Consider the following 21,890-nt stretch of genomic DNA (forward strand, 5'->3'; position numbering starts at 1 on the left):
GCTGTCCCAGGGGACAGAAATGCTGGAGGCTGGGACACTGGCGCGAGGGACGCGGCTGGGGGCGGGGGAGGGGGTGACCCAGAAGCTCATCTTCTCCTGGAAAGTTGGGAGGGGGGAACAGGACAAGTCCACGGCGTTCCTCTAAACTACCGCATTCCCCCAAGAAGGGATTTCTCTAGAAGAGTGGCGCCGCGAGGACGATCGAACACAGTCCTCCGGGTCGCTTAAGCGGGGGGGAGGGGGGCGGGGTGGAGGGGGTTAGAAAGCCGCTCCCGCCTCCTAGTGGTCGAGAAAGGGTTAAGTCGGCAAGCCAGCAAACGAGGGAGGAGCCAGCGAGTGCGGGAAGGAGTGGGGGTGGTTGGGAAGAGCTTCCTCGCTGTCCCCACTCTCCCTCGGCTAGCAGCCTGGGCACACGGACAGACGGACTGACGGACTCTCGAGCGGACAGCGCAGCTAGCGGGGCGCGGGCGCTGGGCGTCGACGGCCAGCCCCAGCCTTCCCCGCCCCGTCGCGCCCCGCCCCGTCCCGTCGGGGCCGATGGCTCCTCCCGAGGCCCGCAGCCCGGGCGGCGCAGGGTAGAGCGCCGCGGCCCGGCCACGCAGCCCGGGGACTCCCGGGCCCTCCCGGAGCCCCGCGGGGTCCCCGCCGTGCATCCGGCGGGCTCAGGGAGCGAGTGGGAGCGCCCTCCCCCCGCTGCCCCCTCCCCCGAGCATCGAGACAAGATGCTGCCCGGGCTCAGGCGCCTGCTGCAAGGTAAGAACGCCAGCGGCGGGAGAGCGGAGGGCATCCTGGGGAGAGAAGCAGGGCGTCCCCTCTTTCAGGGATTGAGGGTGGGGCAGTTGGGGAGGTGGGGTAACCTGGGGAAGGGGAAAAGCTCAGCGCTGGGGCCGCGCCCCCGCCGCCAGGGCTGTTCTCAGCAGGAGGGCACTTGGCTGGGAGCCCGCGGGCGCGTGCGAGGAGCTCGTGACCGAGGTGGGACGCAGGGGGCAGGTGGACCCGGCCCGGAGCGGGGAGGGAGGCTCAGGTTCCGCTGTCCCCGCTCCACCTGCTCCGGGGGACGCTGAGGACTCGGGCCGGCTGGGGAAGCGCCGACTCAGCAACTCCTCCTGCCCGGTGCCTCAGCACTTTCTGGCCACCTGGGAAGACAGGAGATGTGGGTAGGGGGCTGTCTGGGGAGGTAGGAGGCGCAGAGGGAAATCCAAGTGGCCCTCTCTGGTAGGAGAGATGGAGGGCGCTAGAAAGAGGATAGTTCTACTGATTGAGTGACAGATAAGGGTGTGGGCCAGAGACTGGGGGTGGGGTGGGGAGGGGTCAGGGGGAGAGGGATAGGAAGGAGAACTCAAAGATGGAGAAAGTGGTGAGGGAAGCTCAAAGGAGGAGGGAGATGGAGCGGGGGAGGGGGAGAAGGAATAAAGGTTAGATGGGAAAAGCGTGGAGGGAAGTGGGACCCAGGTGAAGACCAAGGAAGAGGGAAGGAGAGGAAAGACCAGATCAGGGGAGGGATGGGAAGAAGACTATGGACAGGGACCCAGAATCCTGGGATGGAGGTAGCGGGAAAGAGAATCAGGACTGGGACCCTGGGGACTGGAATGGAAAAGGAGAATGGAAAGATCAGAAACCAGAGAAGGATGGGGATGGTGACTAGAGAAGGGGTATCAGGAACCGGCGAAGAGGGTTGGAGACAGGGAACCATGGATGGGAGAGGGGCTGGAGAGGAGGGAAGAGGAGGAGGAAGAGAAAGGCTGAGAGAGAGGGACTGGGGATTGGGGGTGCTGCCCAGGGATGAGACAAAGAGGCTTCTGGTAACCACTTCCACGTGGGAAGCCCTCCATTCCCAAAGCGCCTGCCTGCCACATTTCTTCTCTCAGGGAGTGGCTGGTGGGCCAGATGGGGGGTGCTTTGAGCTCAGGGCCCTGGGGGTGGCTGTGAGGGACAGAGGGTGAGGACTTTGGAAGGGGAGTGACAGCCTCCGAGGGTGGGCAAACAGGCTGGCTCCTGTGCTGCCATTTATTTATCCGGCCTGGACGTTGGATTCTGCAGCCGCTGCCGCCACCACGGTGGCTGCTTATTTTGGGGTGTTACATTCTGGCAGAGTGAGAAGCTGTTTGCAGCAGCTCTAAACCTCCGTCACCCGCGTCAGTGCCTCCCCAGGCCCCTGCGTCACTGGCATCACCACCACCTCCATCCCACTCCTCAGCTCCCACCTCCTCAGCCCCTGCCCCCTCAGCATCTGCCCGCAGGCCCCAGCCCTTCCCTGAAGCAGCCCGTTGGGTGTGGAGCCCTTGCTTCTCGTCTGGGACCCTGTGCCCCTCCTTCCAGAGCGAGAGGCCTCTGCTGCCTTTCCAGGGAGCATCCTTTCCTGGGACCACTCTGCACCAGCGACTCTGCCCTGTGGGTGGGTAGCCTGGATCCTGCCCCCTACTTTGGGTCCAGTTTTCTTCTCCTCAAGTTCCTTCTTCTACAGGGGCCTCCGGCCCAAAGAGTGGCCTGTGGGCTGAGAACTTTGTTTCTGAGCCTTGGTACTCCAAGGTTTGATAGCCAGAGTCCTGGACAGTGGTCCCTCAGTGAACAGATACTTTTGGCTCTGGACACTTCAGCCTTCCGGGATCAATACCATGTTCTGGCCTCTCTTGGCTCCCTCCCCTGGTCAGTTCTGGCCATATATTCTGGACAGGGGTCATCTCTTCTTGACTCCCACATGTAATCACTACTCTAGAACAACCGCAACTGGAAGCCTAGGAGGTGAAAGTTGCAGAGAGAGCTGGAGTCCCTTCCTTGCCTTGACCCTGAATAGCCAAACAGACTCAGCATTGTGGCTGGCCCAGCCCTAGGCACCTGGGTGCAATTTCTCTCCTGTCTTTACCTCAAGGGCAGTGTCTCACACATTCAGGCGTGGTTTCTGCGGAGGATGTGGCCACCTCTTAAAGAAAGATCAGAGTGTCTCTCTGACATGGGCTTGATGTCCCTCTTTTCCAATCTGGGTTCCACCTTGTACTAGCTGCATGACCTGAGGCCACTGTGTCATGTTTCTGGGGCTCCCTTCCTTCATCTGCAAATTGGGGGCCACAATATTGACCTCCAGGGGATTATGTGTGTTGTGTTCAATGTATAAAGAAGTTAACCTGTACAAATGCAGTGCCTAGGACAAAATAGGTGCTTCTTGGTTTCCTCCTACCCTGCTGTACTCTCCCCTGCAGCTCTAGCCATCCCCTGCTGACTTTAGAGGAGGGGGTGAGCAGAGAGGGTGGGGGAGGCTGCTACAAAGGGCTTTCCTCTGTCCATGAAGTAGTGGAGGGATGAAATGAAGGCTTCTGAGAAAGACAATGAAGGCGAGCTGTAGAGACCTGGTCAGGAGGCCTGGGGTGCTCAGAAACTCACACTTCCCCTCCCCAGCCCTCAATGGTGTTACCTATGATGTGAGGGGTCGGCTCTAGGTGGCCACCGAGGTATCCCCCTTTCCAGCTCTGATACTCTGTGCATCTTGCCCCAGTCTCCACCGGGAATTCACAAAATGAAGGCCAGGAGTGGAGCCGTGGTCCTCGGGAGAGACAGGAGGCCTGGGCCTGGAGGGAAGGAGTGGTGGTGCTGAGGAGGAGTGAGAACAGGGGGTGGGGAAGGGACGTGGCAAGAAAGAAAAGGGCACACACTGGGCAGGGCAGGGACTGAGGGCGGGGGAGAGAGGGAAAGGCACAGCTCTCTAGTCCCCCAACCCCCCAGTCCCACCACCTCTGCCCTGGAGTGCTCGCTCCAGCCCCAGCAGGCCTGGGGCAGTGAAGCCCAGAGCCCCCTCCCCTCCCCTCCTCCTTGCCTCCAGTGAGAGCCGCTGCGTGAATTATGGATGAGCTCCTTGGGTTACAGCTGCTTTGCACGGCAGTGGCAAGGGCCAGAAATGGCAACAGAGTCACTGTTATGCAGCAGCTGTTATGGAGGAGCCCCCAGCACGGGGTCGCTCTTCAGAGAGCCTGCAGGGACCACTATCATGGGCTGGGGGAGGTGAGCCCTGGTTGGGGGAGACATGGGAACAAGATGGAAGGAGAGTGGGGAAAGAGAAGAGAAGTAGTCTAATGTGGGCAGGTGGGGAGCAGGAGAGTCTAGGGAGAGAAAGAGGAGTAGGCACCCTTGCCAGCTCCTGCAGAGTTTACCCTCAAGGCCGGAAGGAACCCTGATGCCAGGGGAATGGGCCTTGCCTCTGAGATTGCACATCCTTCCCTCTGTCTCTCCTGGGGCAGCGGTCAGTCCGGAGGCTGGGGGAAAGCTCTGTAATCCTCCAGGGGCTAGCGGCCATCAGGGCTCACACTCTGGTGAGCTTGTGGATAAGGGGTAGGATTAAGGGATCAGAGAAGGATTTGGCTTCTTTTGGTGTCAAGTCCTTAGGGAAGTGGAGATCAGAGGGTGACTCTGATAGGAAGGGAAGTGCCCTGGCTGGGCATCAAGAGACTTTTCTGGCCCTTTCCCTGCCAACACTTTGCTGTGTGACCTTGGGTAAGTCGCTTGCTCTCTCTGAGCTCCAGTCATCACCTCAGTAGAACTGATGCTTGAACCAGAGGAATCGAGGGGACCTTTGCGGCTTTGAAATCTCCAGTTCTAAGCCCCAAACCTCAACCCTCATGAAACCCACTCAGGGTCCCCACTGTGCTTCCACACTCCACCTCTGCCTGGTTCAGATGAGGGGTGAGAGACATTGCTCCTCCACCCCACGTGGGTCTAAGAAACTCGGGAGGAGAAAGTAATCGTGAAACGCCGCACGGGGGAGGGGTGAGAAGGGCCGAGAAACGCGGAGGTGGTGTGAACGAATGGAACAGCAGCCGCTGTGTCACTGAGTATTACATCACACCCAGCCTACACACGCACGGGGCCCGGCGCTCACACACACGCGGAGGACAGCCAGCACGCACCGACGCAGCACCGACGCAGCGCCAGGAGGGGCCGGGGACACTCACGGTGGGGCCCAAAAGCGAGGAGCAGCACACTGGGAGTGTGGATCTTCCACCCCGCACCTGTGTGCTCCCCCCTCTGGAGGAGGAACACCAGGGCAGCTGGGATGCCAGCGCCACACTCGGGGCCTGTCAGTCCCATGCGTGCACACCTGGCTGAGCAGCACTGCATTTGGTGAGCACCTGGCTCACGCCACTACCCAAAATCACAGATACATACACACATTCACGCACACGGCAACCTCAGGAGCGTGACACAACACACACAAAACCACCACTAAGCAAGTGCAATTTGCAGCCTTGGAGACCCCACACTCAAAATCACCAACCCCTCAGTCTCTCCCAGGGTCTCTGAACCCCAAGGAGCCCCAGGATGTCAGAGTGCAGAAACAAGTCTTCCTCCCCTCTGCCTTCAAAAGCCTAGGACGTTGCTTGAAGCAGAAGGTGTTCAGTCACTGTGTGCCCAGGGAATGACTGCCTGGCTTTGGGGGTGCAGGCTCCCTTTTTCCCCAGGCAAAACTGCCAGAAGAAAATCCCAGGAGTCACCTGGAAATCATAAGAAAGTGTAGAGGTCAAGCTAGTTCCGGCCTAGAACTTTATCAGCTATAGTGACGGCAAAGGCCAGGGATGATGGGAGGCCCTGCACCCCTATTAAAATATGAGTACAGACACCTGCACTCCACTCTCTAGCCCCCAGGCTCTCTGGGCCTGCTTTTCCATCAGTATCATAATAAGGATGGATCATATCCAACCTTCAAAAGTTACTTTGGGGGAAAAAAAAAAAAAAGCTTTGGCTGGATGCGGTAGCTTATGCCTGAAATCCCAACACTTTGGGAGGCCAAGGTGGGAGGATTGTTTGAGGCCAGGAGTTTGAGACCAGACTGAGCAACATAGCAAGACCCCATGCCTACAATTTTTTTTTTTTTTTTTTTTTTTTTTTTGATACAGAGTCTCGCTGTGTCACCCAGGCTGGAGTGCAGTGGTGCGATCTCGGCTCACTGCAAGCTCCGCCTCCCAGGTTCACACCATTATCGTGTCTCAGCCTCCCAAGTAGCTGGGACTACAGGCGCCCGCCACCATGCCCGGCTAAATTTTTTTTTTGTATTTTTAGTAGAGACGGGGTTTCACCGTGTTAGCCAGGATGGTCTCGATCTCCTGACCTCGTGATCCACCCGCCTCAGACTCCCAAAGTGCTGGGATTACAGGCGTGAGCCACCGCGCCCGGCCAAAAATTTTTAAAAAATTAGCTGGGTGCAGTGGCACGGGCCTGTGGTCCCAGCTCCTCAGGAAGCTGAGGCAGGAGGATTGCTTGAGCCCAAGTGATCCAAGCTGCAATAAGCTGTGATCGTACCACTGCACTCCAGCCTGGGCGATGGAGCAAGACCCTGTCTCCAAAAGAAAAAAAGAAAGAAGTTTTTAAGTAACTGCGAATGAGGAGAGCCTGGGGTGTAAAATGCAGATTCCCAGGCTGTCCCCCCAGGAATTCTGCATAGTTCCTAGGACTGGCTGGTGGCCTCACTTAGAGACCCGACCCTTAAGGCCCCTCCCGGCACAAAGAGGCTCTGACTCTGCAAGGGCGAAAAGTACAGGAAAGTAAGGGCACTGGGCACCAGTGGGCTGGCAAGACCAGACCCCAGAGTGAGTCCATTTCACACGGGCCTCAGATCTCCAAAGGGTCCCAAGTTACTTCCAGTCATTCTCCAATGGGGTGACTTTGCCCCCCAGGGGACATTTGGCAATGTCTGGAGACATTTTGGTTGTCACAACTGGAGGCAGGGTGCTGCTGGCATCTAGTGGGTAGAAGACAGAGATGCTGCTAAATGCCTTATATAGGGCTGCCCCCACAACGAGGAACTATCCGGCCCAACTGTCAATACTGAGGCAGAGAAACCCTGACGTTAGTCTTTTGACATTAATCTCTAGACAAGGTCAAACATGCAATAGTGAAAACAGGAATGAAGAGATGATCATTCTTCAACCAATTTGCAGTGCTTTCTACAATGGCCTTTTGGCATTATTTTTTAATATATGAGAAGCCTCAGAAAGTGGAAGTGGCCAGGCCACTTGAGGCTATAACGTTGTCCCCTGAGCCCCCAGACATGGGAGCACCAGGGCTCTAGGCCTTTATTTTTATTTTCTATTTTTTCCCCTGAAACAGGGTCTTGTTGTGTTGCCCAGGCTGGAGTGCAAGGGTGTGATCGTTGCTCACTACAGCCTCAAACTCCTGGGTTCAAGCGATCCTCCTGCCTCAGCCTCCCAAGTAGTTGGGACTACAGGCACATGCCACCATGCCTGGCTAATTTTTTTTTTTTTCTTGTAAAGACAGGGATCTCCCTATGTTGCCCAGGATAGTCTCAAACTCCTGGCCTCAAGCAATCCTCCTGCCTTGGCCTCCCAAAGTGCTGGGATTACAGGTGTGAGCCACCATATTCAGCCGGGTCTAGGCCTTTTACCAAGTTGGGGGGCTGGCCCCCAGCTGGCACTCCTGCCCTGGAAGCCCACCTAGTAAGTTCTGCTTCCCCTCCCCACAGCTCCCGCCTCGGCCTGCCTCCTGCTGATGCTCCTGGCCCTGCCCCTGGCGGCCCCCAGCTGCCCCATGCTCTGCACCTGCTACTCATCCCCGCCCACCGTGAGCTGCCAGGCCAACAACTTCTCCTCTGTGCCGCTGTCCCTGCCACCCAGCACTCAGCGACTCTTCCTGCAGAACAACCTCATCCGCACGCTGCGGCCAGGCACCTTTGGGTCCAACCTGCTCACCCTGTGGCTCTTCTCCAACAACCTCTCCACCATCTACCCGGGCACTTTCCGCCACTTGCAAGCCCTGGAGGAGCTGGACCTCGGTGACAACCGGCACCTGCGCTCGCTGGAGCCCGACACCTTCCAGGGCCTGGAGCGGCTGCAGTCGCTGCATTTGTACCGCTGCCAGCTCAGCAGCCTGCCCGGCAACATCTTCCGAGGCCTGGTCAGCCTGCAGTACCTCTACCTCCAGGAGAACAGCCTGCTCCACCTACAGGTGAGCCTGCCCTGCCCCCACCCTCAGCCCCTTTCTGGTTTCCTCTCTCTGTGGGCCCCTCTGCTCCCCGACCCTGGCGTGCGTCCCTCCTCTCTCCCCAGGCCACCCTTCCTGCCTCAGCATCTCCATTTCTCTCTGTCTATGTCTCTTTTCTCTCTTACATTCTCCAGGGGCTTTACTTTTTCCCTTCTGCCTCTCTACCTGTTTAGGTCCCTTGCTGTTCCTCTCTCTCTCTCTCCCTCTAACTCCACAACCTTCACCTCTCTGCCTCTGCCTGTCTGTCTGTCTATCCCTTTCCATCCATCACTGCCTCTCTCACTAACTTGCCTCCCCCATCTGTCTTCTGCCTCTTCTGTCTGTCTCCCTTCACACACCCACTCCGCATACACCCCCATGTCTGTCTGCGTGTGTGTATCTGTCTCTTTCTGTGATCTCACGTGTTTGCCTTCAGGGCACTCTGCCTTCCCCCAGGGTCCCCTGCCCAAAGGCCTTTGCAGCTGTTTTTCTCACCCACCCTCAAGTCTGCCCACATCACGGTGAAGTAGAGAGAGAAGGCAGAGCCACAGCCACTGGCATCCCACAGAAAGTTGCGCTTCTCTCCAATTCACTGGGCAATGGGACGGGAGAAGCCCACACCCCTTCTAGATTCCCATTTTCCAAACCTGTCATCTCAATGCAGGGGAAGAAAGAAAAGGGTAAATCTCTGTTATGCAGCTGGAGAATGGATGCTCTGAAAATGGAAGGAATACCAGTAATTGTTATTCATTGTTATTATTATTGATCTAATTATTGTTTATTGTTGTTATGCTGACTGTTTGACACGCAAATCATCCCACTCCATTTCCCCAGGAAGCAATAACACACCCTCCAAACCACCCTGAGAGAAAATCTTCCCTTGGCTACAGAGCCTCCGGCTGGAAGGGGGTGAAAATATCCAAATTCTGCCCTCTCCCTACTTGAACCTGGAACGTGCTTCCTCTGCCTCATCCAGGGCTAGTGCCTAACTAGTTATCAATCTGCTAGTTGGAAAATCAGGTCAGTGCTGATGATGCTAATGATAATAACAATAGCCATAACAACCTAACAAACATACTGAGCACCCACTACGAGCTAGATGCTAAGAATACAGTAGTGAACAGAACAGACCAAACCCCCTGCCTTCACAGAGATACCATTCCCATGAGGAGGGAAAGAAGTAAAATGCACGGTATATTGGAAAAATATGTCTTATATTATTCTTATTGTTGCCTAAATAGTGACAGTAATAGCAGTAGCCGCCACCACTTAGTGGGTACACAGGGTCAGCCACAGTGCCAAGCACTTTATAGGTATCCACTCTGCCATTTACAAGCGTGTGACATTTTTTTTTTTTACCTCCTCAGACCTCAGTTTTCTCATCTGTACAATGGGGTAGCAAGAGCACCCATCTCCTAGGGATTTTGAAAGCATTAAATGCATGAATAATTTGTAAAGCACTTAGAATAGTGCTTGGCATACGGTAAGTGCTATATAAATGCTTGTTAAAATACTATTTTAAAAAAAGAAACGAGCCTTATTTAACATTGGTTTCAGTGAAGTGGCCCAACTTGGACTCCATCCTGAAGATGTGGGTCAACTTCAAGGATTATACTAAGGTCATGAGTGAGTCCCAGAAATTGCACCTCACAGTTTATGAAGTGCACTCAGCCACCTCATCTCATTTCTACAGCCCAGTTGGGAGATTATTTTCACCTCCTTGTTAACAATGGAGAAGCTGAGGCTGGGGGCCCTGAAGACCCTATAGAGATATAGTCACCTCCAATCATAAATCTTTTCAACCATTGTCGGTGTGACCGGAGGCTTATGTCTTCTCACCATCATGTTGAGCCTCACAACAACCTGGTGATAGGGACAGTTAGGGGCACTAGGGACATGGAATGAATGTTCCTGAGGCCACACACCCAGGAAGAGCTGGCGCTTGAACCTCATGGTCTGGCTACAAGGGGACAGTACTCTGGAGTACAATTGAGCAGGCTCATTTTTGAAAGCACACAGTTTGGACTCAGCAAGACCTAGGTTCAAATCCTGGCTCCTATATATATGACTTTGGACAAATTACTTAACCTCTCTCAGTCTCCATTTCCTCATCTCTAAAATGGCAATCAGGATAGTACTTAATAATAATCTTTTTTTTTTGAGACGACGTCCCACTCTATCGCCCAGGCTGGAGTGCAGTAGTGCGATCTCGGCTCACTGCAACCTCTGCCTCCCAGGCTCAAGTGATTTTCCTGCCTCAGCCTCCTGAGTAACTAAGATTACAGGCATGTGTCACTACACCCAGCTATTTTTTGTATTTTTAGTAGAGACGGGTTTCACCATGTTGGCCAGGCTGGTCTTGAACTCCTGACCTCAGGTGATCCACTCACCTCGGCCTCCCAAAGTGCTGGGATTACAGGTGTGAGCCACCATGCCCAGCCAATAATAATCCTTATTTAAGAAGTTTTGTAAGGATTAAAATGTAAGGCATTTAGCACAAGGATTAAAATGTAAGGCATTTAGCACATATGGGCACTATAATAATAATTACTACTACTACTACTACTAATACTGAGATCAAATACTACTACAAATTGATCATGCATTTAATGCTTTCAAAATCTCCTTATCAATATATATTAGTTATTTAGGAGGAATTTGGAGTCAGAGGGCCTGAGCTTGAATCCCCGATCTACTATTTTCTGACTTATTTAACTTTAAGCAGGTTGCTAACCCTCTCTGAACCTCACTTACTTTATCTGCAAACTGGGAATAATGAAAATAATACCTTCCACCAAGAATGGCTGTAAATAGGAAACGAGTTAGTGTATAGAAAGCCCATAGTTCAGGCCTGGTGTGGTGGCCCATGTCTGCAATCCCAGCACTTCGGGAGGCCAAGGTGGGTGGATCACTTGAAGTCAGGAGTTCGAGACCAGCCTGGCCAATATGGTGAAACCCTGTCTCTACTAAAAATACAAAAATTAGGCAGGCGGGGTGGCAGGTGTCTGTAATCCCAGCCACTAGGGAGGCTAAGGCAGGAGAATCACTTGAACCTGGGAGGTGGAGGTTGCAGTGAGCTGAGATCGTGCTACTATACTCCAGCCTGGGTGACAGAGCAAGACTCTGTCTCAAAAAAGGAAAAAAAAAAAAAAGCCCATAGTTCAGTGCTGAAGAAATCATGTTATTATGACCCCATCCTCCATTGACTCTCAGGCCAACAACAGCAATCAGGACCTGAGGTCAGCAAAGGCTTGGGCAGAGGGGACCTCAGGTGGACATTGGGGTCTTCTGAAATGGGAAGTGTTTGTTCTCTACGCCCCTGGCATGAATGGTACCAGGCATCATGGGAAGGAAGCAACTTCACACCTGGCCTTTTATAGAGGAGATGGAAAACACAGCCTCTGCCTGTGAACTGCCTGGTAGGGCTGGGCTGGGAGATGCCACAGGCAGGTGAGGAAACATGGGCTGGGGTGAGATCCGCAGGGTGCAGGTGTGACCCAAGATGGAGCCAGGCCTGCCCCAAAGGGGAGCTTTGGAGGAAACTCCACCAGAGGACCACAGCTTTTCAGAATGGGGAAGGGCCAGGCACTGTGCCAGGTGAGTTCATTCATCAACAGATATTTACTGAGTATCTACCACATGCCAGGCAATGTTCCAGGTGCCAGGGATTCAGGAGAGAACAGAAACAGTGGCCCTGTTCTCCCAGAGCATATTCCCTACTCAAGTGTAGCCAGATGATAAAGACACTTGTTTTCTTTCTTTTTTTTTTTTGAGACGAAGTCTCGCTCTCTTGCTCAGGCTGGAGTGCAGTGGCACGATCTCGGCTCACTGCAACCTCTGCCTCCCAGGTTCAAGCGATTCTCCTGCCTCAGCCTCCCAAGTAGCTGGGATTACAGGCATGTGCTACCATGCCTGGCTAATTTTTGTATTTTTAGTAGAGACGGGGTTTCACCATGTCGGCCAGGCTGGTCTTGAACTCCTGACCACAGGTGATCTGCCCACCTTGGCCTCCCAAAGTGTTGGATTACAGGTGTGAGCCACCGCACCCGCCGACACTTGTTTTCTCTTTCAGTCATTACAGTGGCCTGCATGGTTTTTGTTTGTTTTGTTTTGTTTTGTTTTTGTTTTTGAGACAGTCTCACTATGTCACCCAGCTGGAGTGCAGTGGCGCAATCTTGGCTCACTGCAGCCTCACCTCCTGGGGTCAAACAATTCCCCCATCTTAGCCTCCCCAGTAGCTGGAACTACAGACATGTGCCACCATGTCCAGCTAATTTTTCTATTTTATAGAGACGGGGTTTCACCATGTTGCCCAGGCTGGTCTCAAACTCCTGAACTTAAGCAATCCACCCGCCTCGGCCTCCCAAAGTGCTGGGATTACAGGCATGAGCCACCGTACACAGCTGGCCTGAATGGTTTAAAAATAGTCTTTATGCTCAAGCAGATCAGATCTCAGTTTGAATTCCAGCCACACCTCTAATTTGCTCTATGGCTTTGTGCAAGTTATTTAACCACTCTGAGCCTCGATGGACCCATCTGTGAAATGGGGATAACCTGTACCTTGGCGAGCAGGGGTTGTGAGGATTAAAGGAGATACTACTGAGCTCACAGCCCAATGTCTGGTACAAAGTGAGTATCCAATGAATGGTAGCTATCCATTAACACCAGGGAGGACACCAACTGAAGCTCAGCAAAATAAAAGCACAGTCCAAGGTCACCCAGCTAGTAAGGAACATGACCTAGAATTGGCCCAGGTCTGTCTGACTCCAGAGTGCAGTTGTTCAGAGGTCTCTGGAGTTGGAAGCCACGTTCCACTGCATATTAGCTGTTGGACCCTAGGCGAGTCACTTCACTTCTCTGAGGCTCCATCTCGTAATCTCTGAAATGGAGATAATAATAGTATCCACCTCATAGGGTTGTGACAATTAAGTTACTATATAGGATCTGTGTAGCACAGAGCTTGGCACATGGTAAGAGCTCAATCAGTTACCTGCTTGACAATGCTGACGCCGATGATGACGATGATACCCATCCTAGACTGATGAGCTCTGTAAGCGGGGGTGCCTGGCACAGAGTAGACACTCGGTACAGCTCTGTGGAATGAATGAGGCACATCCCAGAACTCACCAATTCATAAAAATCAGATGCAGATGGGATCTTAAAGATCACCTATCCTAAGTCCCTTGTTTCACAGATGAAAAGACCCAGGCCCAGAGAGGTGCTTGGAGCTGCGCAAGGTCACACAGCCAAGCAGCTCATTTGATTAGTGTCAGAGCCAAGAGCTGGGAGTTTGGAGGGAGGCAAGGTTAAGAACAGGATGCTGTCAGGGAAGCAGGCAGGGATGCTGTGTTAAGATTCCAAATGGATGCAGAGAGCTGTGAACCGGCCAGTGGGGAGGCAAGGGAAATGTGGTTTTTGAAATGGAAGAGGATGACTTTAGCAGAGGCTCTCAGCCCAGAGGGAGGGGAGATAGGGAGGGGAGATAGGGAGGGGCGGGGGGAGGGCTAGGGCTGTGAAAGTCAAGAGCTTATTAATGCATAGAGAACGGTTTTAACAGTGGAGAGAGGAAGGACCGGATTTGAAAGCTACATTCAAGGAAGTGGCAACGGGATTTGGCAACAGCTTGGATGGGGGGAGGAGGCAATGGACCCCAAGGCAGAGGCTCAGAGAAGGGAGGGGCAGGACTTTTTGCAGAGAAACAAAAGGAGAGGAGAGGAGGTTAGAATCAAGAAATTCTGTGGGCCAAAACCTGGGGCTGTGGGTCAAAGGCACCTGAATTCCCTAGGATCTCTGGAACTTTGGTCTACTCTTCTGACCTCCCGAGGTCCCCCAAAATGTGGATTACCCCTGCTCACTCTCCCCCAACCCCCGGCCCCTTATCGATCCTCTGACCATACATCTCTGGGTGTGTCCTACTCTTGCTGACACTTCATAAAAAGAGGAACCCCATTTAGGTGTTTTGAGTGGCAGGGATTCCAAGCCTACCCCCTGGATGGGCCTGGAAGAGAACAAGAGCACCAGGCCATGGTGAGTCAGGCTGAGGCCAGGGAGGTGCAAGGAGCCAGCTGGAGGCCTGAGCCAGGATTTGGGGTGGTGGCAGCAGGGGGCGGAGAATGGTGGTGTCAGAGGCAGCCGAGAAGGTTGAGGGGGACGGATCTCAATGTGGCCAAGAGGAGGGCTCTTGGCACGCTCAGTTCCTGTAGCGAAGAGGGCGGAAGCCAGATGGGAGGGGGCGAGAACAGGCAGGAGCACAGGAAGGTGGAGGCTGTGGGTGTAGGCTGGGAGTCAATGCCCTCCCCCAACCTGAGGCCTCCGACCAGGCTCCTGGGTGGCAGGCATGGGGAGGAAAGCGTCTCCCCAGGCAGTGAGGGAGGGAGTGCCACAGTCAGGGAACAGGCCCCCTGGGTGAACTGGCCTGAGCAGAGTGGATGCTCCTGTTCTGAGACCCAGACCTCCTGGAACCTGCTGACCACAGTGATGCCCTGCACAAGAGGGGAGGACCTCAAGGCAGTGAGGTCAGGGAGCTGAAGTCCTGCTTCCCTCTCTGGCAAGCCCTTATCTCTTTGAGCCCCAGTGCTCTCCTCTAAAAAAGTGAGCTGGGCTGATGGGTGCCAAGGCATTAGCTCCCAAGTCAGCTGATCATCAGAATCCCCTGGTGAGCTGGTTATAATGCAGAGTCCAGGAATCCCCACTGGCCGTGGGCCACACACACCCGCCGCCCCCCGCTGTTAATTCTGAACCATAGTTCCAAGGTCCTTTCTGCACTAATGTGGCCTGATTAGGTGACTCCCTAGCACCAGGCAGGTGGGACAGCGCCTCTAAGGGGAGTAGTAATGCAATGTGGCTTCCTTCCTCTCCTCCCCTGCCGCCTCTGGGGGTGGAGCTGATGCCCCTCACCCCAATACCCAGCCTAGTAGCAGTACTTTGGTTCCCCCAGGGAGCTCCTCTTTTAAAGAAAAGGGACAGGACCCAATTGTTACTGAGCCCCTATTGTCATAGTAGCCACCATTTATTGATGGTTGACTATGCACCTGCCAGATACTGTACCCTTAACAGCATTTATCATCCAACCCTCCTTTAGCCTGCTGAGGGGGTTATACATAATAAGGAATATTGTACATACTGAGGAACCTGAGACTCCATGAGGTTAAAACTTGCCTAAAATAACACAGCTAGGGAAAAGGCAAGCTGGATTTTGAACTAGGGCTCTAAGTGCTGAGCCTGTGGGCTTCATAATTGGACCAAATCCCTGTGTGCTGGGCACGTGTCCAGCACTTCCCTCATATGATCTTTATGTGAACCATCCTCTGGAATCCTCAGAACAAACCCAGGAAGTAGGTATACTCATCCCCATTTTACAGATGAGGAAACAGGCACAGAGAGATGACTGGCTTGGCCAAGTTAAGAATAATGGCTAACAAACAAAAACAAAAACAAAAATTAAAAAAAAAAAAAGAATAATGGCTAACTCATGGAACTCATAGAACTCCACAAGGAAAGGTGTTCTAAGCACCTTCATACATGCTGCTTCATTTAATCTCTACATTATACAGATGAGGAAACTGAGTCACAGATATCCTGAGTGACTTGCCCACGGTGGCATCAGTTAATGACAGATCCAAGATTTGAAATCAGAAAGGCTGGCTCCCCAGTCTCCATACTTCACCAAACCAGAAGTTCTGAAACTCAAACTGTGGTCCTGCCAATGGCCACACTGGCTTCCCTGGGGAACCTGTAGACATGGGGATTCCCAGGCTCCACCCCAAACCTCCTGAATTAGAAACTCTGCCCCCCGCCCCACCCCGCTCAGAGATCCGCAGGGGATCCTAATACACCCGAAAGTTTAGGAACCACTGACCTCACCAATACCACTTTTTCCACAGCAAATAGGTTAGAGGAGGCAGAATCCAAATCCAGGATGCTATGAATCAAAAGGTCAACCCTTTCTCTTCTGCCACGGTGCACCCCCTTCCCTCCCCCGGCCAAGGCCCCAGCGGGGTCTGCACCCTACCTCAGGCCCATTCTCTTCTTCTGTGCCCCACTCCACCCCACCCAGGATGACTTGTTCGCGGACCTGGCCAACCTGAGCCACCTCTTCCTCCACGGGAACCGCCTGCGGCTGCTCACAGAGCACGTGTTTCGCGGCCTGGGCAGCCTGGACCGGCTGCTGCTGCACGGGAACCGGCTGCAGGGCGTGCACCGCGCGGCCTTCCGCGGCCTCAGCCGCCTCACCATCCTCTACCTGTTCAACAACAGCCTGGCCTCGCTGCCCGGCGAGGCGCTCGCCGACCTGCCCTCGCTCGAGTTCCTGCGGCTCAACGCTAACCCCTGGGCGTGCGACTGCCGCGCGCGGCCGCTCTGGGCCTGGTTCCAGCGCGCGCGCGTGTCCAGCTCCGACGTGACCTGCGCCACCCCCCCGGAGCGCCAGGGCCGAGACCTGCGCGCGCTCCGCGAGGCCGACTTCCAGGCGTGTCCGCCCGCGGCACCCACGCGGCCGGGCAGCCGCGCCCGCGGCAACAGCTCCTCCAACCACCTGTACGGGGTGGCCGAGGCCGGGGCGCCCCCAGCCGATCCCTCCACCCTCTACCGAGATCTGCCTGCCGAAGACTCGCGGGGGCGCCAGGGCGGGGACGCGCCTACTGAGGACGACTACTGGGGGGGCTACGGGGGTGAGGACCAGCGAGGGGAGCAGATGTGCCCCGGCGCTGCCTGCCAGGCGCCCCCGGACTCCCGAGGCCCTGCGCTCTCGGCCGGGCTCCCCAGCCCTCTGCTTTGCCTCCTGCTCCTGGTGCCCCACCACCTCTGACTGCGGTGCTGAGATCGAAGAGGCCAGTGTCCGATCCCCGCTTCCCGTCCACCCGGGGCTGCGGCTCCGGCCCCAGTCGCCCCACCTTCCCTGGCCTTGCTGCCTCCCTTTCCCCTCCCAGCTCCTCTCCTCCCCGGGGAGCAGGCCGCCTCTCCTTGCCTGCCCCCTGGGCTGTCCTGACTTGTGGCAGCCCCAAGAGGGCGTGTGTGGTGGCTCAGCCCTGCCCTCCCCAGTTCTGGCCATTAACTCTTCCCCATCCCAAGGCTGGGGTGGGGCCCCCCAGGCAGCCGCTGACCCGCACTCCTAAGGGCCCACAGCGGACACCAGAGGGGCTTTTGTCTGCAGAGCGTCTTCCACCAGCAGAGCCTTTGGAAGCTCCCCCAGGGAGCCCCACCCAGGACCCTTTGGGGGATGCCTCAGTCAGGGCCAGGCTGACCCTGACCCCTGCTTACCCTAGTCCCCTCAACCTCCTGACACTGGAGGAATACTTTTCTCCTAAGTCTACCCTGGACACTTTTTAGGGCACCTGGAGAGAACTTTCCTCTCCACTGTGGCCCCTGCGTGGTGAAGATCAAAAGAAGTTGTTTGGGAAAAAAAATTTATTAAAAAATTCTATTATTTTATCTACTGTAAGATTTGTTGACTTGGGACCCCGAAAGCGGGATGAGGTCTCAGAATGTAAGGATTGCAGGGCCAGGAGGGTTGGAGAAGGGGAGCCGTCCCCCGCCATCAAAGAGCTTCCTGGTGGCTGGAGGTGGTGTGCGCTCCCCCGCCATGAGGAGGAGCTGAAGCCCTGCATTCTAGGTGAGGCGCAGTGTGGCAGCCAAGAGTGGGTGCTGGTGGCACCTCTTCTCTTCATTTGTCCAGGGGAAGAGCTGCAGCCAACCCTGAGTGGTCTGGCGCCTGAGGAACTAAGCCTGGGGAAGACCTGCTGTCTGGTTAACAGCCCTCTTCCAGACCCTGTTCCTTCAGGAAACAAGAGCAGTTCTCCTGCAAGGAGGAGTCACATACACACTCCTGGTCACAGACAGCCCCAACATGGCTTTGGGTAAATGTGAACAAGGCACTGCTCCCTCAGGGAAACACAGCCCCATGCCAGAGCAAACACCTTAGCAAACAGAGACCAAGGCTGGGTTTCCGCGTACACTTGCCTCCTTGGCTAAGTGCCCTTGTGCAGTGCACAGCGTACACACCTGCACACAGCAACCCTGTGGGTATGTGGTCTCTCTCTCAGCTCCTGTGAGGTAGAAGCCATCAGGGATGAACCAGGTCAGAGAAGCAGGTTTCCAAACAGGCTAGAAGAGGGACCGAGGAACTCGGGTGATCAGAGGGACAGGAATCCCAAATTGGGATGCATTACTGGCTTGAGGTACAATCAGAACCTTCATCTTTCTGGTGTGTGGAAGAGAGGCTGGGGACTGGGAAGAGCTCAGGCTAAGAAGGACTTGGGTTGGGATTTAGGGGTGAGTCTCATCAGACTGAGCACTTGGAGAGAAGTTTGGTAGTTTGAATTTGGAGCTAAGAATCTAGCTTGGGCAGGGTGTGGTCGCTTGCACCTGTAATCCCAGCTAATTGGGAGGCTGACGTGGGAGGATCACTTGAGGCCAAGAATTTGAGACTAGCCTGGACAACATATCGAGACTGAGTCTCTTAAAAATGTTTTTTTAAGAATCTAGTTTGGAGTGGGGTGTGATGTCTCAACGTCTGTAATCCCAGCACTCTGGGAGGCTGAGGTGGACAGATCACTTGAGGTCAGGAGTTCAAGACCAGCCTGGCCAACATGGCAGAAACCCCGTCTCTACTAAAAATTCAAAAAAATTAGCCAGGCGTGACGGCGGGTGCCTATAGTCCCAGGTACTCAGGAGGCTGAGGCACAAGAATCACTCCAGCCTGGGTGACAGAGACTCTGTCTAAAAAAAAAAAAAAAAAAAAAAAAAAAAATCTAGCTTGGGAGGTGGGAATAGAAAGATAGAGGGGGCCTAGATGCTAGGGCTTGAGGAAGCAGGCTGAGGTTCTGTGATTCTGGCTAGGGAGGTCAAATGATCTTGAGAAGAAGAGAAGAAAGGAGAAGAAATCAGCATCTAAGCCTGAGGCAGGTAGACTCCGGTTAAGGGTGTGGGGTGGGCTGGGGGAGAGTGAGAGCAGCTGGTCAGAAACCCAGGGAGCTCGGAGTCTGGGGTCTTGCAGGGGCTTGTGTCAGGCTGGCTGTGAGGAGGTTAATGGGTTGGATTGGAGGGACAGCCAGACAAGAGCTCTGGTGGAGGAGGGGCTGCTGGGGCCTGGGCAGGGGGAGGGGAGCTGCTGGTAAATTAGAGGCAGGCTGTCCAGGTCATAGAATTATCATTGTGAAATATTCATGGGCCATCGGTCCAGATGCTATTTCAGAACAGTGAAAGCAAGAGGAGTGTGTGAGCCTCAGGAAGAAGCCTGAAGCAAAGCCACTCTCCACCAACCCCCACCCCTCCCACCACCAGCCCAGACAGACCCACGGACGCCCATCACGTGCACACCCACACTCCCGAGCTCTCACACACACTCGCACCAAGCAGAGCCATGTAGCACGTGCAAGCACACCAACCACCCACGGGTCCCACAAACAGGCAGGTGTCCCCTAAATTCTGACATGCACACTGACATGCACACCCACTCAATCAGGACCCAGCAGAGATCACCTCCAGCGATCTCACATGCGCAGACCCCCAAACTCTCCAAACAACCCAGATTCACCACCTTGACCCACACACCCTGAGATAGGAGGGATGTTCAAGGCCATCCAGCCCAACCCCCACCAATGCTCTGATGGGGAAACTGAGGCCATAGAAAGGAAGGGATTTGTCTGAGATTCCTCTATCCCCTGAAAAAAGCAAAATTCATTCACCTCCCACATTCTGAGTGTACCCCCATTCTGCATTTTCGTCTGCCAGACACCCAGCCTAGTTGTAATTAACTCCTCCCTTTCTCTAATTTCCTGCATCTATTCAGTTACCCAGTCCCCCACCCAGCCACAGTCTATCCCTTCCTTCCCATTCTCCCCACCACCTCCCTGCTCCAGCTACTCATTACCTCATGCCTGGAATATAAAAGAAAACTGCGATAACCTCCTCGCTGGTTTCCTACATGGAATCTCTCCCTCCCTCCCACCCAGCCATACCGTGGTGACCAGATTCATCTGATCAAAATTTGCATATGTTATGATGTCACTCAGGAGCCTGTAATGGCTTCCTAATGCCTATAGGGTAAAGGTAAAACACCTTAGCAGAGCATCAAAGATCCCTCAGAGTCTGGTACCAACTGCTTTTCTAGCCTTTTCTCTCACAATCTCATCCCAAACCTTCACTCCAGCTAGAACGTTTGTATCATACTGGCCACCAGTTATCATGTATGTGAAACCCACCAACCGACTTTGAGTGCCCCCCTAAAATTTCTCAGTCTCTCCTGAAGTAGGAAACCTCTTCCCCCTCCTCAGATCTCAGACTCCAGAGCCCTTTCCCAAGGCCAAGACTGCACCTCTCTGACCATATACAGGGGTTCTTCAAAGCAGCAGACAGAGGCTCAGGCTCTGGCTCCCTCCAAGCAGACGGCTGCCCCCGACTGGCCACCTTGGGAAGCACAGCCAGGCTTCAGTCGTCTAGAACAGAGAATGAGCATCTAACCGCCTGGGGAGAGGACTAGGACACCAGATGATAAGGTTTATAAGCCCTTAAGCCTCTAAGGTTCTTACACCCAGAGTAGGGGGGGGACGGTTCTCAGCCCTGTTTCCCTAGCTGCGGGCTCCCAATTTTCGATCCCTAATCCGAGAGGAACTCCTCTCCAATGAAATACAGACTTGGGACTCTCAGGACACTGTGGAAGGGAAATTTCCCAACAGACTCTGAGAGTCCAGGAGGCCAGGGATAGACCAGGTGGCAGGCCCAAGGTCCAGCTGGGGTCAGGTTTCTATATGAATTTTTAATGCTTCCAGATAGACTTGTCAGATGTTCTGAAAACTGAGCATCTCCTTTCACCTCTGTACATGATGCCCTTCTCCAACCCCATTGCCCCTGCAGGAGGGCAGGCCTGGGACAGATATTCAGTGGCCTCTGGAGAAACGGTTTTGGGACAGTAGAAGGGTAAATGACCTAGTTATGTTCCCACTAGTAAGCTGTGTGACCTTGGGCAAGTTACTTAACCTCTCTGAACATTAGAGTTCTGTGGGTTTGTTTTTGTTTTGTAAGCTGGGGACAATAGTGCCAGCCTAAATCAATTTGTTGTGGGGACTCAGTGCAATAGCCCATGGCAAAGTGACCTACATGCTTGCTGTTATTATTCTCTTTCCTCAAGTTCTGCCTCCCTCTTCCAGCTTTTCTTCCAACCCCAAAGATGTCTCTGGCTATTGCTTCGAAGGTAGGAACTTTGGTTGGTTCTCCCCTTTCTCTTCAGGCCCAAACTCCCCACCTCAAGATCCTTTGGCCTTTGTAGAAACTTCAGGTGAGGAGGTGGCAGAGAAATAAGAAAGTGTGCAAGGCTGGTGGAGTGAGAGAGGAGGATAGATGGCGAAGCCCTAGCAGAGGGGAGGGAAGTGGGCAGTGGAGAGAGGAAGGGAAGACCCTGCTCAGAGAGAGAAGAGCCAGGCACAGACTCATTCCTTCATCCCTCCCTCCCTCCCTCCCTCCCTCCCTCCCTCCCTCCCTCCCTCCCTCCCTTCCTTCCTTCCTTCCTTCCTTCCTTCCTTCCTTCCTTCCCTCCATCTTCTCCACGCCTGGTATCATCATACAGAAGCAGAGAGGACTGCACTTGGTGAAAGTTTCAATTCTCCTGTGTGGAGAGGTGAGCACTGAGGAAGGGGTGGGGGCTGTCAAAGGAGACTTACCCAATCTTTCCAGCCCACCAATCCCTTGCCCAGTGTTTCTATAAAATAAGGGCCTTTTGCATCTGATTTAAGTAGGAAGCTGATTCCTGAGCCCCTCAGATCTGCTGAATCAGATAGCTAAGGGGGCCCTGGAATCTGCATTTTAGCAAGCGGAGGTGGGTTATGAAGCACTCCAAAGTTTGAGACACGCCTCAAAGGTGGAGTGGTTCTGTGGGGGGCAGAAAGGAAAATGCAAAGGGGGAAGGGGTCACACTTGGGGAAGGTTTCAGACAA

At 54.2% G+C, this 21,890-nt stretch overlaps 1 protein-coding gene across 1 annotated transcript, besides 11 other annotated features; it reads left to right on the plus strand.

Moving 5' to 3' along the window:
* RTN4RL2 (reticulon 4 receptor like 2) lies at positions 385 to 17,391 on the plus strand. Its single transcript, NM_178570.3, has 3 exons — positions 385 to 753; positions 7,466 to 7,947; positions 16,019 to 17,391. Exons 1-3 carry the CDS (start codon positions 723 to 725, stop codon positions 16,766 to 16,768), a joined length of 1,263 nt encoding a protein of 420 aa, NP_848665.1. The 5' UTR covers positions 385 to 722; the 3' UTR covers positions 16,769 to 17,391.
* Positions 392 to 661: a silencer, noted in NCBI's record as "silent region_3348". NCBI's record gives its function as "represses an Ori minimal core promoter by ATAC-STARR-seq in GM12878 lymphoblastoid cells {active_cell/tissue: GM12878}" and the evidence as "EXISTENCE:reporter gene assay evidence [ECO:0000049][PMID:35858748]".
* Positions 2,097 to 2,635: an enhancer, noted in NCBI's record as "H3K27ac-H3K4me1 hESC enhancer chr11:57229713-57230251 (GRCh37/hg19 assembly coordinates)". NCBI's record gives its function as "activates a minimal SCP1, AML or CMV promoter by ChIP-STARR-seq in primed H9 embryonic stem cells {active_cell/tissue: H9 hESC(primed)}" and the evidence as "EXISTENCE:reporter gene assay evidence [ECO:0000049][PMID:30033119]".
* Positions 3,725 to 4,229: an enhancer, noted in NCBI's record as "H3K4me1 hESC enhancer chr11:57231341-57231845 (GRCh37/hg19 assembly coordinates)". NCBI's record gives its function as "activates a minimal SCP1, AML or CMV promoter by ChIP-STARR-seq in primed H9 embryonic stem cells {active_cell/tissue: H9 hESC(primed)}" and the evidence as "EXISTENCE:reporter gene assay evidence [ECO:0000049][PMID:30033119]".
* Positions 4,279 to 4,874: an enhancer, noted in NCBI's record as "H3K27ac-H3K4me1 hESC enhancer chr11:57231895-57232490 (GRCh37/hg19 assembly coordinates)". NCBI's record gives its function as "activates a minimal SCP1, AML or CMV promoter by ChIP-STARR-seq in primed H9 embryonic stem cells {active_cell/tissue: H9 hESC(primed)}" and the evidence as "EXISTENCE:reporter gene assay evidence [ECO:0000049][PMID:30033119]".
* Positions 8,259 to 8,708: a silencer, noted in NCBI's record as "fragment chr11:57235875-57236324 (GRCh37/hg19 assembly coordinates)". NCBI's record gives its function as "represses an EF-1alpha promoter that drives an FKBP-Casp9 reporter gene in an ReSE screen in HepG2 liver carcinoma cells {active_cell/tissue: HepG2}" and the evidence as "EXISTENCE:reporter gene assay evidence [ECO:0000049][PMID:32094911]".
* Positions 14,022 to 14,101: an enhancer, noted in NCBI's record as "active region_4717". NCBI's record gives its function as "activates an Ori minimal core promoter by ATAC-STARR-seq in GM12878 lymphoblastoid cells {active_cell/tissue: GM12878}" and the evidence as "EXISTENCE:reporter gene assay evidence [ECO:0000049][PMID:35858748]".
* Positions 14,163 to 14,663: an enhancer, noted in NCBI's record as "H3K4me1 hESC enhancer chr11:57241779-57242279 (GRCh37/hg19 assembly coordinates)". NCBI's record gives its function as "activates a minimal SCP1, AML or CMV promoter by ChIP-STARR-seq in naive H9 embryonic stem cells {active_cell/tissue: H9 hESC(naive)}" and the evidence as "EXISTENCE:reporter gene assay evidence [ECO:0000049][PMID:30033119]".
* Positions 15,837 to 16,665: an enhancer, noted in NCBI's record as "H3K27ac-H3K4me1 hESC enhancer chr11:57243453-57244281 (GRCh37/hg19 assembly coordinates)". NCBI's record gives its function as "activates a minimal SCP1, AML or CMV promoter by ChIP-STARR-seq in primed H9 embryonic stem cells {active_cell/tissue: H9 hESC(primed)}" and the evidence as "EXISTENCE:reporter gene assay evidence [ECO:0000049][PMID:30033119]".
* Positions 15,837 to 16,822: a biological region, named in NCBI's record as "H3K27ac-H3K4me1 hESC enhancer GRCh37_chr11:57243453-57244281".
* Positions 15,883 to 16,032: an enhancer, noted in NCBI's record as "active region_4718". NCBI's record gives its function as "activates an Ori minimal core promoter by ATAC-STARR-seq in GM12878 lymphoblastoid cells {active_cell/tissue: GM12878}" and the evidence as "EXISTENCE:reporter gene assay evidence [ECO:0000049][PMID:35858748]".
* Positions 16,353 to 16,822: a silencer, noted in NCBI's record as "silent region_3349". NCBI's record gives its function as "represses an Ori minimal core promoter by ATAC-STARR-seq in GM12878 lymphoblastoid cells {active_cell/tissue: GM12878}" and the evidence as "EXISTENCE:reporter gene assay evidence [ECO:0000049][PMID:35858748]".
* Positions 17,392 to 21,890: the final 4,499 nt, after the last annotated feature.

The sequence above is a fragment of the Homo sapiens genome, chromosome 11 (genome assembly GCF_000001405.40).
Source record: "Homo sapiens chromosome 11, GRCh38.p14 Primary Assembly".
In the NCBI taxonomy this organism is placed as follows: domain Eukaryota; kingdom Metazoa; phylum Chordata; class Mammalia; order Primates; family Hominidae; genus Homo; species Homo sapiens.